The 18,289-nt window shown below is 42.9% G+C and overlaps 1 protein-coding gene and 1 long non-coding RNA gene across 6 annotated transcripts in view, besides 1 other annotated feature; one reads left to right on the forward strand and one right to left on the reverse strand.

The window, feature by feature from the left end:
* ASTN2 (astrotactin 2) overlaps positions 1-18,289 on the reverse strand; it is a 991,946-nt gene that overhangs the window by 402,308 nt on the left and 571,349 nt on the right. The gene's annotated exons all lie outside the window — the stretch shown is intronic.
* On the forward strand, positions 12,426-17,709 carry LOC105376239 (uncharacterized). 3 transcript variants are annotated; one of them, XR_001746552.2, is made up of 4 exons: positions 12,426-12,563; positions 13,537-13,602; positions 16,010-16,098; positions 16,963-17,709. It is a non-coding gene; the product is annotated as an uncharacterized LOC105376239 (long non-coding RNA). The 3 variants fall into 3 exon arrangements; XR_001746551.3 differs by lacking the exon at positions 12,426-12,563 and having other exon boundaries at positions 13,327-13,602; positions 16,963-17,098; positions 17,458-17,709; XR_930276.4 differs by lacking the exon at positions 12,426-12,563 and having other exon boundaries at positions 13,327-13,602.
* Positions 15,174-15,918: an enhancer, noted in NCBI's record as "H3K27ac hESC enhancer chr9:119602872-119603616 (GRCh37/hg19 assembly coordinates)". NCBI's record gives its function as "activates a minimal SCP1, AML or CMV promoter by ChIP-STARR-seq in naive H9 embryonic stem cells {active_cell/tissue: H9 hESC(naive)}" and the evidence as "EXISTENCE:reporter gene assay evidence [ECO:0000049][PMID:30033119]".

The following is an 18,289-nucleotide window of genomic DNA, read 5'->3' on the forward strand; positions in this document are numbered from 1 at the left end:
CAAAACCCCAAAAGAAAAACTAGCCTAGTTGGGAGGAATCACGATGTCTGACTAGATGCAGGTAGTATGTCCCTCCTCCATGGAGAGGAACCAGAATAATAAGTAGATACACACATTCCAAACAGATTGTCTAGAAGAGAATGCTAGGATTCAACAGGGGAGAAATGAGAAGCACCAGAAGTAAGTAAGCAGAGACTTTGAGGCAGCTTTTCCAGTCAGAAACCAACTGAGAGCTGGAAGGGGCTCCCAGATGTGGGGAAACAGTAAGAGAGAAACCCCCAGGGTTCCAAAATGGGGTTTTACACCTTGGCTGTGAGAGAAACTCTCAACCTACTGGGGCCTTTGGCCTGACATACGAAGTGCCTAAAGTTTGCATAAAACCATTGCCACAGAATGAGAACCCAAATAAAATCCCACAGGCATCTGAACCTGGAGTAGACACAGCTGGGCACTATTTTGAGAGCCAAAATACTGGGGATCTACAGATATGGCTGCTGCTGCCCTGTTCTAAAGAGGGAGAGGGAAGACTGGGTGCTCCCACACATCCCCAGGAAGCTCCTTACTGCCCTGCTGCAGGCTGCTATTGAGACTGAGACATGGATAGACTGTACTTCCCACAGCTTCTTGCTCACCTTTCTTGCCTGAGATGGACTCTGCCTTCTCTGGTATCAGGCCCAAAGCACCGTTTTTGACAGTTTAATGCTGAGCTGCACCCTACCATTGGCATGAGTTTGGGTTGATGTGGCTGCAGCTGCCACCCAGTCAAGGAGGGACAGGGAGACCAGGCTATCCTATGCATATCTAGGACAATACCCACTGCCCTGCAAGGGGCTGCTGTGAGACCAAGACTCAAGTGGGCCACACTCACCACAGCTTCTTGCCAATGTGGCTCACCTGAGAAGGACCCCATCCTTTCTGGTCACAGCCCACAGCTGGCACCATGCTGAGCATTTAATGCTGGACTATGTCCCAGGCTTGGGGCCGAGTTTGAGGTAACATGGCTGCAGCCACCACCCTGCTGGGAGAGGGACAGAGTACACCACACTCTCCTAAGCACACTCAGGACAATACCCACCACCCTGCTATGGGTGGCTGCGAGACTGGGGACTAGCCCGCCCAACCCATCACAGCTCCCAGCAAGACCAACACGGGTTGCTTGAGTCCCAGTGGGTTGCTCTACCACCATCATTACTGCCATCAGCCACACTACACTAGCTTCCCAGGGGCCCCAAAATCTACCCATACATCAGGCCCACTGCTCCCACTACTAGCTTCTAAGCAAGCCAACTAATGGCCCAAGAATCAGCCCTCAAAAACCTACTAACACTGAAGCCAGTGTAAGCTACTTCGGGGCCTAAAACCAGGCACACTCACCCCACTGCTGCCACTATCAGGTGTGAAGACTGGCTCACTTTGTATTCAAGGTCCCAGCTTAACTTCACCACAATCTCAACTAACAACTGTGTGATAATGAAAACACAGTATCTCAACATGTGTATTATACAGCAAAATCAGTGCTAAGAGGAAAGTTTATAGCATTAAATGCCTACATCAAAAAATTATCACAAATTAACAACCTAATATCACACCTGAAAGAACTAGAAATATGGCTGGGAGTGGTGGCTCATGCTTGTAATCCCAGCACTTTGGGAGGCTGAGGTGGGCGGATCACCTAAGGTCGGGAGTTCGAGACCAGCCTGAGCAACATGGAGAAAACCCGTCTCTATTAAAAATACAAAATTAGCCGGGTGCGGTGGTGCATGCCTGTAATCTCAGCTACTTGGGAGGCTGAGGCAAGAGAATCTCTTGAACCCAGGAGGCGGAGGTTGCAATGAGCCAGGATTGCGCCACTGCACTCCAGCCTGGGCAACAAGAGCAAAACTCCATCCCCCCCAAAAAAAAAAAAAAAAAAAAGAACTAGAAATACAAGAACAAACCACACCCAAAGTAAGCAGGAGAAAAGAAATAACAAAGATCAGAGCAGAAATAAATGAAATAGACCCAAAAAGCAATGCAAAGGATCAATGAAATGAAAAAATAATTTTTTGAAATGCTAAACAAAATTAGTAAGCCACTAGCAAGAAAAGAGAGAAGACTCAAATAAATACAACCAGAAATATAAAAACAGACACTACAACTGATGCCACGGAAATACAAAAGATCATCAGAGACTATTATGAAGACTATTATGTTCACAAACCAGAGAACTTAGAAAAAAATGAATATATTCCTGACTACACAAAACCTATGGAGATTGAACCAGGAAGAAACAGAACTCCTGAACCGAACAATAATGACTACTGAGATTGAATCAATAATAAAAAATATCTCTCAATAACAACAGAAAAAGCCAAGGACTGGATGAATTCACAGCTGACTTCTACCAAACATCCAAAGAAAACTAACACCAATTTTCCTGAAACAATCCCAAAAAAATGAGGAAGAGGAAATTCTTTCTAACTCATTCTATCAGGCCAGTATCACCCTGATACCAAAACCATACAAGGAAATAACAACAACGAAAAAGAAAACTATACACTAATATCCCTGATGAATATAGATGTTAGTATTTTGCTTAACAAAATACTAGCAAAAGGCCGGGCACAGTGGCTCACGCCTGTAAGCCCAGCACTTTGGGAGGCTGAGGCAGGCAGATCACTAGGTCAGGAGTTTGAGACCAGCCTGGCCAGCATGGTGAAACCCTGTCTCTACTAAAAATACAAAAAAATTAGCTGGGCATGGTGGCACACGCCTATAATCCCAGCTATTCGGGAGGCTGAGGCAGGAGAATTGCTTGAACCCGGGAGGTGGAGGTTGCAGTGAGCCAAGATCATGCCACTGCATGCACTCTAGCCTGGGCAACAGAGCGAGACTCCGTCTCAAAAAAAAAAAAAAAAATACTAGCAAGTCGAATCCAACAGCACATCAGAAAGATAGTACACCATGACATCATCAGGTGGAATTTATCCCTGTGATGTAATGAGGATTCAACTATGCAAATCAATAAACGTGATACATCACATAAACAGAATTCAGGAAAAAAGCCATACAATAATCTCCATAGATACAGAAAAAAAAGCATTCAATAAAATTCAACATCCTTTGATGATAAAAAAAATCCTCAACAGAGTAATCATTGAAAATACACACCTCAACATAGTAAAGGCCATGACCCACAGCCATTATCTTACTGGGGAAAAAAAAGCATTTCCTCTAAGAACTAGAACAAGACAAAGACATCCCCTTTCAACACTCTTATTCAACATAGCACTGGAAGTTCTCACCAAAGAAGTCAGGACACAGAAAAATTAAAAGTTATCCAAGCTGGAAAAGAAGAAGTCAAATTATCCCTGTTTGCTGATAGTATTGTCTTATATCTAAAAATCCCTAAAGACTCTATCAAGTTTCAAGATAAAAAATAAGATGCAGAAATCAGTAGCATTTCTATACACCAATCTAGCTGAGAACCAAATTAAGAAAGCAATCCATTTACAATAGCCACAAAAATAAAATATCTAGGAATATATTTAACAAGGAGGTGAAAGATCTCTATAAAAATAATAACAAAACACTGATGAAATAAATTGTAGATGACATAAATACACAGAGAAACATCCCATGCTCATGAATTGGATAATCAATATGTTTAAAAGGATTATATTGCCCAAAGCAATCTGCAGATTCAATCCAATCCCTATCCAATTACCAACATCATTTTTCAAAGCATTAGAAAAAAAATCCTAAAATTCATCTGTAACTAGAACAGACCCCAAATAACCAAAGCAATCTCAAGCAAAATGAACGAAGCTAGAAAATCACATTATCTGACTTCAAATTATAGTACAAGGCATAGTAACCACAAAACCATGGTATTGGTATAAAAATAGGCAACTAGATCAATGGAATAGAATGGAGAACCCAGAAATAAAGCCACATACCTACAACCAAATGATCTTTGACAAAGTCAACAAAAGTACACACTGGTAAAATGATACTCCAGTTGTATTAGTCCGTTATCACACTACTATAAAGAAATACCTGAGACTGGGTAATTTATAAATAAAAGAGGTTTAATTGGCTTATGGTTTCAGAGGCTGTACAGGAGGCATGGCTGGGGAGGTGTCAGGAAACTTATAATCATGAAGAGGAAAGAGGCACGTCTTCACATTGCTGGGAGCAGGAGAAAGAGAGCAAAATGAGAAGTGTTACACACTTTCAAACAACCAGATCTCATGAGAACTCACTATTGCAAGAACAGCAAGGGGAAAATCTGCCCCCATGATACAATCACCTCCTACCAAGCCCCTCCTCCAATACTGGGGATTACAATTCAACATGAAATTTGGGTGGGAACACAAATCCAAATCATATCACTGGTCAATAAATGGTACTGAAAAATTGGATAGCCATACACAGAAGAATGAAACTGGACTCATATTTCTCGCCACATATTTTTTAAAAACCTCAAAATGGATTAAGACCTGAAACTATAAAAATCCTAAAAGAAAACCTAGAAAACACCATTTTGGACCTTGGCCTTGGGAAAGAATTTGTGACTAAGTCCTCAGATCCAATTAAACTAAAGAGCTACACAGCAAAAGAAACTATCAACAGAGTAAACAGACAACCTACAGAATGGGAGAAAATATTCACAGATTGTGCACTCGACAAAGGTCAAATATCCAGAGACCATAAGGAACTTAAATAATGCAACAAGCAAAAACAAATAACCCCATTAAAAATTGGGCAAAAGACATAAACAGACACTTCTTAAAAGAAGACATAAGAGTGACCCACAAACATATGAAAAAATGTTCAACATTACTATTCAGCAGAGAGATGCAAATCAAAACCACAGTGAGATACCATCTCACACCAGTCAGAATGGCTACTATTAAAAAGTCAAAAAACAACAGATGCTGGTGAGGCTGTGGAGAAAAAGGAACACTTATGGAATGTAAATGAGCACAACCTTTAAGGAAGACAGTATGAAGGTTTTTTTTTAAAGAACTAAAAACAGAACTACCATTCAATCCAGCAATCCCACTATTGGGTATAAACCCAAAGAGAAAAAATCATTAATTACATTAGGTCGGTCACGGTGGCTCAAGCCTGTAATCCCAGCACTTTGGGAGGTCTAGGCAGGTGGATCACTAGAGGCCAGGAGTTTGAGACCAGCCTGGCCAACATGGTGAAACCCTGTCTCTACTAAAAGTACAAAAATTAGCCAGGCATGGTGGCAAATGCCTATACTCCCAGCTACTCAGGAGGTTGAGGTGGGAGAATCACTTGAACCCAGGAGGCGGAGGTCACAGTGAGCCAAGATCGCGCCACTGCACTCCAGCCTGGGCAACAGAGTGAGACCCTATGTCAAAAAAAAAAAAAAGAAGAAGAAGAAAAAAAGAAAGATACCAGCCCTCATATGTTTACTGCAACAATAATAACATACGAGTGCTATTTCATAATAGCAAAAATACGGAATTAACCTGAATGTCTATCAAGAGTTGATTGAATAAAGAAAATGTGGTATACACTCCTACCCCTCCCTTCTCCCCACCCACCCACAGACACACCATGGAATACTACTAGGGCATAAAAAAGAATGAAATCATGTCTTTTGCAGCAACATGGATAGAACTGGAGGCCTTTATCATAAGTTAAATAACTCAGAAACGGAAAGTCAAATATGACATGTTCTCACTTGTAAGTGGGAGCTAAACAATCGGTACACCTGCACGTACAGAGTGCAATGACAAACACTGGAGACTACAAAAGGTGGGAGAATGGAAGGGTGGGAAGAGTATGAGGGTTGACAAAGTACTACTGATTGGGTACAACGTTCACTATTCAGGTGATGGGTATAATAAAAGCTCAAACTTCACTACTACACAATGTATGCATGAAAGAGACCTGCTTATACCCCCTAAATATATAAAAATAAAAATATAAATAAAGGTAACTGAAACTATTAGCTGATTTTTTCTTTTCCATATGTCTAAGTCCTTCTTTAGAACATTTAACAAATATTCACCAAACACCTACCTACTCAGTGCTAAGCAAATGTTTTAGGAGCTGAAAATGTAGTAGTAAACAAGACAGACAAGACCTTTCTCTCATAGAATTTACATTCTAGAGAAGAGACAAATAATTAACAAGTAAACAAACAAAATGATTATTTTGTAGAGTAAAAAAATGAATAAAGATAAAAGTATAATATGATAAAAAGTTAACGAGGATGGGGTGAAAGCAGCATAAATTTAGCTTAAAAATAGGGTAGACAGACTTCTTCCACTTTAGCCTTCTTTTTCAAAAGAAGTTTTGGCCATTATAGTTCCTTTGCCGTTCGTTTAAATTCCAGAAAAATCTTGTCTATACTTATAAAAATCATGCCGAGGTTTTGATAGGAATTATATTAAACCTTTATATCAATTCGAGGCATGTGGACATCTTTATTATCTTGTGCTATCCAATTCGTGAATACGTATATCTTTCCTTGTGATTAGATCTTCTTTGATTTCTTTCACGAGTATTTTAAAGTTTTACTAAAGCTAAACGTGGCCCATGCATATTTTGTCAGATTTGCATCTGAGTATTTCATTACTTTTTAGGGATTGCAAATGATACTGTATTTTTTATATATTTTGTCAGATTCACATCTGAATATTTCATTATTTTTCAGAAATTGCAAATGGGATTGTATTTTTTATTTCAAATGTTCACATGTTCATTGCTAGTATATAGGAATACAATTGATGTTGTATATTTTTCTTGTATTCTGAGACCTTGCCAAACTTACTAATTGCTTCTAGAAATTTATTTTGTAGATTCCCTGAGATTTTCTATGTAAAAAAATCATGTGATCTGCCAATGGGTAAGTCTTATAGTCTTATTTCTTCCTTTCTTATCTGAATGCCTTCTTCCTTTTTTGATTTTTTTTTTCCCTGTTATTGCACTGGCTAGGACTTCCCACACGATGTTGAATAACAGTGGGCAGAGTGAATCTGCTTTTCTTGTCTCTGACCTTTTGGAGAAAGTATTCAGTCTTTCACCATAAATATGTCAGCTGTAGCTCTTTTATTGATGTTCTTCGTCAAGTTGAGTAAGTTCTCTTCTATTCTTATTTTTTTTTTGAAAGTTTTAAAAATCATTTTCGGTATGGAATTTTGTCAAATGTTTTTCTTGTATCCATTGATATGATGATGTGATTTTTCTTCTTCTGCCTGTTATTATAATATACTGATAGATTTTCAAATAGGGAACCATTCTTGCATCACTGTAATAAACCCCACTTAGTTATGTGTATAGTTATCTTTTATGTATTGTTGAATCCTATTTGTTAATATTTTGTTAAGGATTTTTACAACTGTGGTATATGCATGAGGGCTATTGGTCTTACTTTGTAGTTTTCTGTTTTTGAACTATCTTTGTCTGCTTTTAGTATCAAGATAATGCTAATGTCTTAAAATGATTTGGGAAGTATTCTCTCTTCTTTAATTTTCTGGAAGATTTTTTTTGTTTTGTTTTATTTATTTATTTATTTATTTTTTGGGAATTGACGTTTATTCTTCTTTAAACATTTGGTATATTTCTCCAGTGAAACTATCCAGGACAGGGATTTGGAGCTGAGGGGAGGAGGAGTCTAAAGTGACAAAATAAATTTCCTTAATAGTTATAGGGCTTTCAAAATTATCTATTTCATATTGGCGAATTGTGGTAGTTTGTGTTTTTAAGAAATTGGTCCATTTCATCTAATTCATCAAGTTTATGTGTGTAAAATTATTTGTAGCATTCCCTTATTATCCTTTTGATTTACACAAGGTCTGTGGTGATATCACCTGTTTCAGATAGTGGTAATTTATTTTTTCTCTCCTCTCTTCCTTTTCAGTCTTGCTTGTGTTTGTTTAGTTTTATTGTCATTTTCAAATAATCAATTTTTTGTTTCATTAACTTCGTTGTTTTTCTGTTTTCTACCACATTGATTTCCTTCCTTCGGCTTCCTTTGGATTTATTTTGCTCTTTTTTTTTTTTTCTAGGTTCTTGAGGTGGGAGCCTAGATTATTGATTTGTAACTTCCTCTTTTCTAATGTATGCATTTAGGGCTATACACATCCTTCTCATTGAATATAAAGACACAGATATGTTAAAAGAAAAGGATGAATCATGACTTCAGCTGTGTCCCCCACACAACTTGATACATTGTATTTTTATTTCATCTAGTTCAGTCCATTTTTTAATTTCCCTTGAGACTTCTTCTTTGACCCATTGATTATTCAGAAATATGTTGTTTACTTTCTAAGTATTTGAAGATTTTTCTGTTATATCTATTATGGGCTGAAGATTTATGTCCCCACAAAGATTTGTATGTTGAAATCCTAACCCACCTGCAAAGTGATGATATTCGCAGTTGAAGCCTTGGGGACGTGATTAGGTCACAAGAGTTAAGCCCTTATAAATGTGATTAGTACCTCACAAGAAGAGGATGGGAGACCAGAGTTCCCTCCCTCTCCAACACATGAGGACACAGAAAGAAGGCAAGCAAGGAAAAGGGAATTTCACCAAAAAACGAATTAGCCAGCACCTCAATCTTAGACTTCAGCCTCCAGAACTGTTAGAAATAAGTCTGTTGTTCAAAGCACCCAATTTATGTTATTTTGCTACAGCAGTCCACAGCTGCTGAAGGCAGCTGTTATTGCTCTGTTATTGCTTTCTTGTTTGATTCTATCGTGGTCAGAGAACACACTCCATACAATTTGAATCTTAAAATTTGCTGAGGCTTTTTTTATGGTCCAGGATATAGTCTTGTCTTGATATGTGTCCTGTAGGCACTTGAAAATAATATATGTTCTATTTTTGTTGGGCATAATGTTCTATAAATGTTAACTAGATCTTTTTTGTTGATGGTGTTATTGAGTCCTTCTATATTGTTGCTAAACTCCTGTCTAGTTCTTCTATCGGTTTTGGAAAGGGGTATTGAAGTATCCAACCATCATTGTAGAATTGTCTATTTTTTCTTTCAGTTCTGTTAGATTTTACCTCACACATTTTGCAGTTCTGTTGTTTGATGCATAAACATTTAGGATTTCTATGTCTTCATGGTAAATGATATTTTATAATTATTTGGTGTCCCTCTGTGGTAATTATTTGGAAGGCCTACTTTATCTGTTATTAATATAGCTACTCTCACTTTTGTTTGATTTGCATGTGTCTTTTTCCATCCATTTACTTTCAATCTGTCTATATCATTATAAGCAATGTGAATTTCTTGCAGACAGTATATAATTAGGTCATGCTTTTAAACCCACTCCACTAATTTATGCCTTTTAATTTTGGTATTTAAACTATTTGCGACTGGGCACAGTGGCTTATGCCCGTAATCCCAGCACATTGGGAGGCTGAGGCAGGATGGTCACTTAAGGCCAGGAGTTTGAGACTGGCCTGGGCAACATAGTGAGATCCTATCTTTTCAAAAAATTGTAAAAATTATCCAAGTATTGTGGTAAGTGCCTGTAGTCCCAGCTACTTGGGATGTTGAGGTGGGAAGGTCGCTTGAGCCTAAGAAGTCGAGGCTGCAGTGAGCTGTGGTTGTGCTACTATACTCCAGACGACAGAGCAAAATGCTGTTTCACAAAAAATAAGAAAAAATTTCTAAAACAGAAATTATTTACATTTAATGTGACCTGAACATTTCTGGCATTACATTATATTATTATGTTTCAACTCCAGGTCTTAATTATATTAATGAAGACCAATTCTGATTTTTTTCTTGCCCAAATTACTATCTGAGGGGTCTGGGGAGTCATGCCCTACAAATCATAAATTCTCATCAGATGGGTTTATTTAATCCTATACATTGTGACTTACTTTCCAATCTGGCTCTGGCATAACATGAGACAAGGAAGAAAAGGCAAAATACTTTATCCCAAAACACGTTTCTTGACATATTTTGAAATGGCCCTGCAAAGCTGTTCTTTGTAGGGAAAATTTTGCATCTGTAAAGAATGTCTATTAACATAGCTACATCTTTTTCTTTCAGACCCTCCCAATCCTAAAGAGATTAACTAAAATCTGAATAGGAAACATTTGTTGTCTATAGTCTCTAAGGGCAGCCACTAAAAGACGTCAAAGGAACTTTGGTCTCCACAATCTTTATCTTAACCAGAACATCCCTATATCCCTATAGTCTGGAACCAACAACCCGCTGCCCCCAAAAGCATTTGTAAAATGTATAAAACAAAGCTGCTCCCTGACCACCTTGGGTACATGTTTTCAGGACCTTCTGAGGGCTGTGTCACAGGCCGTGGTCACTCATATTTGGCTCAGAATAAATCTTTTCAAATATTTTACAGAGTTTGGCTCTTCTCATTGACATGTATTTATTTATTTTAGAGAGAGGTTCTCTCTCCGTCACCCAGGTTGGAGTACAGTGGCACAATCATAGCTCACTATAGCCTCAAACTCCTGGGCTTAAGCAATCCTCTAGCCTCAGCCTCCTGAATAGCTGGGATTACAGGTGTGAGCCACTGCACCCAGATAGACCTTCAAACCTTCTATTTTCTCTGGCTTCTACTGACACTCATCCAGCAGGGGAAGGTAGTGGCCTTGTTACTGACAAGGGAATGAAGAAGTCCCAGTTCCCCATGTGGCCTTCTCTGATACCCCAAAGGCCCCTCTTTTCAGCTGGATGAGGTAGGAATTCACCTCCCCACTAGGACTTCACGGATCTCTTCCTGGATGGGAGTGGTAGGTATGTCTAGTCACTGTTCCCCCCTTAATCTCCACTAACACCACACTGAGTGGAAGGTGGCCCCATGAATGCTGGTCCGTGGTGAATGTCCTGGCTTTCTACTAGTTCTTCCCTGACAACAACCCAGCAGGAAGGGGGAAGGTGCTTCAATGTCATGGATTAGGGGTGGAAGGCCATGCTCTTCACTGATGCTGAATAGGCCAGGGGATGGGGGTGCTCACTATCTATCATTGAGATTAAAGTCCTGGCTCCCCACGCCATTCAACCGTTGCTCCCATGGGGAGGGGTGTGTTCATTTTAATTTTTTTCATTTTCTGTGGTGTTTGGCTGGAGTAGAGCACTTATTGTCTAGCATTTTTCTGTCTTGCTAGGTTGTCCTTTTCCCGGTATTTTGGCTAGGGAGAGCAGTTTTGTTTTGTTTTGTTTTGTTTTGTTTTGTTTTGTTTTCCTTCACATGTACCTACTGGCATTTCTGAGCTGCAGGCTCCTTTAGCTCCAAGAATAGGACACATGAGGCAAAGAGAGAATCCAGGGAACTGACCACCATGTCTTTCCTTGGGTCCCAAAGGCTTCAGCTGGTCTGCAATGCTCCACCTTTCAGTCTTATGCTTGTTTTATATAGGACATCCAGGGTTTTTGGTTGTATTTAGCCAGAAAAATAGAGAAAATGTGTCTACTCCTCCAAAGCCTGTTTTTGCACAGCCCTAGAGCTAAGAATGGCTTTTACATTTTTTTTTTAAAAGAACATGAGACAAAAAAAGACCACATGTGACCTGGAAAGCCTAAAATATTTACTATATAATCCTTCATACAAAAAAGTTGAAGACCCGTGACTTCAGCCATGTTAAGGCACCTGGAGTTTATTCTAAGTGCAACTGGAAGGCATAGGAGGGTTGTTGGCAGAGGAATAAAGTGATTTTGTTTGCTACTTTGAAGAGATTACTGAAGTTAGTGAATCCAGTTATCTCTAAGCAATTTCCTAGAGTCCACAAAAGGAGTCTGGGGAAGCAGGCTCTGTGCATCTGGGCAGGGGCTTGAGAAAGGGAGTGAGTCAGCCTAATAAGGACTCTAGCATGTGGAGGCGTGCCTCTTTGCTGAGGTTTTATAGTAAGTAGGTGAGAAAGCGGGGAGTCTAACCCAGGTCAGTGCAGCTCCAGAGACTCATATCCCTCATTCTGCTCTATTTCAGGGGAGGACTCATAGGAAGACTCTGAGCCCAAGTCTCTGAGCCTTGAGATTTTGAAGACCTAGCGGGGAGGGAGAGGAAGATGCCTGGAGGATTCCCATAGGTTCCTCCCACAGGCTAGCCCTGCTGGGCTCCCCCGAGCTTCTTCCTCCATACTGTGAACCTGCTCTTTGCTGCTTCCTAGCTCGACTTTTCATCATCACCAAGCCATTTGTTTCTGTTTGTAATTATGCATTTTAATGTTCATTAATTATGGAATGCAAATTGCTCTGAGTACAAAATTTGTAATGAGCTGTTTTACCACCCCACCCCCAGGTCTAGAAGGTGGGCCAGCTGTTCTGAGCAGAAGGAAAAACAACCAACTTACAAAACAGAACAATTTGTCCTAGGGCCTGAGTGAATCATATGGTAAATAAGCCTGGGGGACTTCCTGCTGATGCTGGAGGTGGGGCCCTGCCCCACCTGGGTCCTGGGTGACATCAGTGTGGCAATTTCATTCTTTGCTACAAACTTGGGCCTGAAAGGCAGGTGGGGTAAAGGAACAGCACTAGTCTTAGAACCAGCCTTTTACTGGCTATGACACCTTGAGCTAGTCCCTTGGCTTGTCTGAGCCTCAGTTTGTCCTTCTGGAAGGTAAGGATTATGATGAAATTATCCTCAAAGTAGGGGTGGCAGGCAAACACTAGCAGGCCCTGGATAAATGCATGTGAATGGCTCTCCAGATTGCTGGATTCCAGTTCTGCCTGGCTGTGTTTTTTTTTGTTTTGTTTTGTTTTTTGAGACAGAGTCACGCTCTGTCACCCAGGCTGGAGTGCAGTGGTGCAATCTCGGCTCACTACAAGCTCTGCCTCCCAGGTTCACGCGATTCTCCTGCCCAAGCCTCCTGAGTAGCTGGGATTACAGGCATGCACCAACACGCCTGGCTAATTCTGTATTTTTAGTAGAGGCGGGGGTTTCTCCATGTTGGTCAGGCTGGTCTCGAATTCCTGACCTCAGGTGATCCGCCCGCCTCAGCACTCCCAAAGTACTGGGATTACAGCTGTGAGGCACCGCACCCAGCCAAAAATTTCCAGTTGCTTTCTTTTCTTTTTGAGATAGAGTTTCACTCTTGTTGCCCAGACTGGAGTGCAATGGCACGATCTCGACTCACTGCAACCTCTGCCTCCTGGGTTCAAGCAATTCTCCTGTCTCAGCCTCCCAAGTAGCTGGAATTACAGGCGTGTGCTACCATGCCCAGCAATTTTTTTTTTTTTTTTTTCAGTAGAGATGGAGTTTCACCAGGCCAGGCTGATCTCGAACTCCTGACCTCAGGTGATCCACCCGCCTCAGCCTCCCAAAGTGATAGGATTATGATTACAGGCGTGAGCCACTGCGCCCTGCCTGGGCTGTGGTCTTTAACTGGCTGAGAGCCTTCAGATGAGAACACTCTGAGCCTCAGTCTCCTTCAATGGAGGCACTGGACAGCAGGAAGTCAGAGAAGACTTTCAGTGCTAACTGCTCAGTTTTTATCAAAGCAACTGTGAATTGTAGAAAGGGGAAAATTAGCTCTGAAGTATTTAAGAGGAAAATGGGGAATTTTCTTGGAATTGATTGAACATGTTTTAAGACATCACAAGGATGCCTCCAAACCTGCTTGACTATGAACAATGACTTGTTCTCCTCCAAGGACTAGGTAAGTATTTGATTTCTTTAAGTCTCATGGCCAGAGAAAGCATAATAACAGTATCACCTCCTACTAATAGTACTCCTCTCAACAATAGTATGCCTCAAAAATTATGGTAAATATTTTTTATTTATTGTTATTATTTTTTACAGACAAGGTCTTACTCTGTCACCCAGGCTGGAGTGCAGGCAGTGGTGCAATCATAGCTCACTGCAGTCTTGAAATCCTGGGCTCAAGGGATCCTCTTGCCTCAGCCTCTCGAATAGCTGGGACTACAGGCATGTGCCATCATGCTCGGCTAATTTTATTTTTATTTTTATTTTTTTTAAAACAACAGCTTTATTGAAGTATAATCTACATATCATAAAATTTACTCATTTAAGTATATGATTCAGTTATTTTAAATTTGCAGAATTGTGCAACCAGCACCGTGATCCAATATTTAAGTTTCCATCATCCCCAAAGATCGTTCATGTACTCCTTTTGAGACAGAGTCTCGCTCTGTCACCCAGGATGGAGTGCAGTGGCACGATCTTGGCTCACTGCAACCTCTGCCTCCCAGGTTTAAGCGATTCTTATGCGTTGGCCTCCCGAGTTGCTGGAATTACAGTTGCTGGAATTACAGCCCCGTGTGTGCCACACCGGTCTAATTTTTGTATATATATATTTTTTTCCTGAGAGGGAGTCTCGCTCTGTCGCCCAAGCTGGACTGCAGTGGCGTGATCTCGGCATACTGCAACCTCCACCTCCTGGGATCAAGCAATTCTCCTTCCTCAGCCTCCTGAGTAGCCGGGACCACAGGTGCCCGCCACCACACCCAGCTGATTTTTTTATTTTATTTTATTTCATTATTATTATTATTATTATTATTTTTTTTTTTTTAATTGATCATTCTTGGGTGTTTCTCGCAGAGGGGGATTTGGCAGGGTCACAGGACAATAGTGGAGGGAAGGTCAGCAGATAAACAAGTGAACAAAGGTCTCTGGTTTTCCTAGGCAGAGGACCCTGCAGCCTTCCACAGTGTTTGTGTCCCTGGGTACTTGAGATTAGGGAGTGGTGATGACTCTTAAGGAGCATGCTGCCTTCAAGCATCTGTTTAACAAAGCACATCTTGCACCGCCCTTAATCCATTCAACCCTGAGTGGATACAGCACATGTTTCAGAGAGCACAGGGTTGGGGGTAAGGTCACCGATCAACAGGATCCCAAGGCAGAACAATTTTTCTTAGTACAGAACAAAATGAAAAGTCTCCCATGTCTACCTCTTTCTACACAGACACGGCAACCATCCGATTTCTCAATCTTTTCCTCACCTTTCCCCCCTTTCTATTCCACAAAGCCGCGATTGTCATCCTGGCCTGTTCTCAATGAGCTGTTGGGTACACCTCCCAGACGGGGTGGTGGCCAGGCAGAGGGGCTCCTCACTTCCCAGTAGGCGCGGCCGGGCAGAGGCGCCCCTCACCTCCCGGACGGGGCGGCTGGCCGGACGGGGGGCTGACCCCCCCCACCTCCCTCCTGGACGGGGCGGCTGGCCGGGTGGGGGGCTGACCCCCCCACCTCCCTCCCGGACGAGGTGGCTGCCGGGCGGAGACGCTCCTCACTTCTCAGACGGGGCGGCTGCCGGGCGGAGGGGCTCCTCACTTCTCAGACGGGGCGGTTGCCAGGCAGAGGGTCTCCTCACTTCTCAGACGGGGCGTCCGGGCAGAGACGCTCCTCACATCCCGGACGGGGCGGCAGGGCAGAGGTGCTCCCCACATCTCAGACGATGGGCGGCAGGGCAGAGACGCTCCTCACTTCCCAGATGTGATGGTGGCCGGGAAGAGGCGCTCCTCACTTCCTAGATGGGATGGCGGCCGGGTAGAGACGCTCCTCACTTTCCAGACTGGGCAGCCAGGCAGAGGGGCTCCTCACATCCCAGACGATAGGCGGCCAGGCGGAGAAGCTCCTCACTTCCCAGACGGGGTGGCGGCCGGGCAGAGGCTGCAATCTCGGCACTTTGGGAGGCCAAGGCAGGCTGCTGGGAGGTGGAGGTTGCACGAGCCAAGATCACGCCACTGCACTCCAGCCTGGGCACCATTGAGCACTGAATGAACGAGACTCCGTCTGCAATCCCGGCACCTCGGGAGGCCGAGGCTGTCGGATCACTCGCGGTTAGGAGCTGGAGACCAGCCCGGCCAACACAGCGAATCCCAGTCTCCACCAAGAAAATACGAAAACCAGTCAGGCGTGGCGGCGTGCACCTGCAATCGCAGGCACTCGGCAAGCTGAGGCAGGAGAATCAGGCAGGGAGGTTGCAGTGAGCCGAGATGGCAGCAGTACCGTCCAGCTTCGGCTCGGCATGAGAGGGAGACCGTGGAAAGAGAGGGAGAGGGAGAGGGAGAGGAGACTGACTCTAATTTTATTTTTATTTTTTGTAGATATGGAGTCTTATGCTGACCAGGCTGGTCTTGAACTCCTGACCTCCAGTGATCCTCCATCTCAGCCTCCCAAAGCCCTGGAATTACAGGTATGAGCCACCATGCCCAGCAGTAGTAAAGATGAAATGAGAGGTGAAAATAACGAGACTAAACACATAATGAAAGCCAGAATACACTGTCAGTCACAAAGAATAGACACAACTGTGAATGAAGTCTGACTGAGCCACTTCCTCAATGTGTGCCCTGGCTGTTCTGAGTCTCAGTTTCCACAATTTATACATTGGAGAAAATAACTCCTTCCTCACTAGGCTTGTGAGAGGATCCCAGGAGGTCATTTACCTGATATGTGCCTGATGCCTGACAGGTGCTCACTAAATGCTAACTGCTATTGTAGTTACCTTGTTACTTTCTCCAAATAGGACACATTCAGGGAGAAATGTAAGGGAACCATATACAGGGAAATGGTTAGGCATTTCTTCCATGCCTACTTTTCCAATGAGGAAACTAAAACTCAGAGGTCAGGTGAGCTGCCTTGGGTCATACAGCAAGCAAGAGTCTGACTGAGCCCACCACTGAAGGCCCCCTGACTATGGGGCCAAATGAGGTTCTCTTTTCCCTGAACCACATGGAGGTGGCTTGTCTGTGGTGTTACAAGTGGTTCAGACTGGCTAGTGTAACACAGAGATTCTGAGAACCTTGTGGGAAGGGCCCTGTAATGAGTTATCGGAGGACTTTGGTGCTTTAGGGACAGAGAGGTTGCTTGTGGCATAGTCTTGGATGTACAGATTAGGTACAGCATCTTGGGAAGAAGAGATAGGGAAAGATGCAAGGAAGGAAATGAAATGCATATTTATTATGCACCTACCATAAGCTGGATGTTTCCCAATATGCTATCTTTTTTAATCCCCACAAAACTCAGAGGACCTCTAAGATACAATATACTCATTTTACAGGCAAGGTTATTGAAGATCACACAGGCTGAAGAAGGGCTGCTGAATTCTTCAATATGAACCATCCCTTTGATAAGAAACTGAGTGGGCCTGGTTCTTCTCATCCCAGGAGAGCTCTGGTGTGCTTCCTGGCATATAAGTGAGTGGGAAAGGCTCTGCCAGTCCCCAGTCCCCCACCCCTCTTGCCACTCAGCCTCAATCTGTCAACCAGGCCAGCTAGCCCGTCTATTAATGCTGACATTGATTTGGATCAATCAAGATCCCATAATTACTGGGAGTTTTAATCAACTCATGCCAATTCAGCTGCCGCTCAATTTGTGCTGGACTTCGGTGCTCACAAGGAGGGAAGCGGCGAGGGTGGGGTGGGGCGGGGGGAGGGCATGCAAAAAGGATTACAGGGATCAATAGTCCTTGGTAATGAAGGACAGCAGCTGCAGGCACCACCAGGGGGCCTGAGACTTCAGAGTGGAGGAGACAGAGCCTGCCCCCATCCCCCAGGAGAGCTCCCTGGCAGAGAATGAAAACCACGCCCCTGCTTCACCTCTGCCTACACCTGGATCTGGAAACCACTTAGGCACTACCAGGCAGCACCTGTTCTCTGCAGGGTCCAACCCTCAGTATCTCTCTCCACATTTTGCCCTCAGCCAGGCCTGGCCTCCTCTTCCTGAAGAATCTTATGTATCCTTCAGAGCCAGCAATCCCATTACTGGGTATACATCCAAAAGAAAATAAATCGTTCTACCAAAAAGACACACGCAACCGTGTGTTCATTGTTGCCCTATTCACAATAGCAAAGACATGGACTCAACCTGTGCCCATCAACTGGTGGATTGGATTTAAAAAAATGTGGTGTGTATACACTTGAAATACTATGCAGCCATAAAAAAATCATGTCCTTTGCAGCAATATGGATGCAGCTGGAGGCCATTATCCTAAGCTAATTAACACAGGAAGAGAAAACTAAATACCGCATGTTCTCACTTATAAGTGGGAGCTAGGACGGGCGTGGTGGCTCATGCCTGTAATCCCAGTGCTTTGGGAGGCCAAGGTGGATAGATCACCTCAGGTCAGGAGTTTGAGATCAGCCTGGCCAACATGGTGAAACCCCATCTCTACTAAAAATACAACAAATTAGCCAGGGGTGGTGGCGGGCACCTGTAATCTCAGGTACTCGGGAGGGTGATGGGGGAGAATTGCTTGAACTCGGGAGGCAGATGTTGCAGTGAGCCAAGATCGTACCATTGCATTCCAGCCTGGGCAACATGAGCAAAACTCTGTCTCAAAAAAAAAAAAAAAAAGTGGGAGCTATATATTGGGTACTTATGGACAT

The sequence above is a fragment of the Homo sapiens genome, chromosome 9, assembly GCF_000001405.40.
Source record: "Homo sapiens chromosome 9, GRCh38.p14 Primary Assembly".
NCBI lineage: Eukaryota > Metazoa > Chordata > Mammalia > Primates > Hominidae > Homo > Homo sapiens.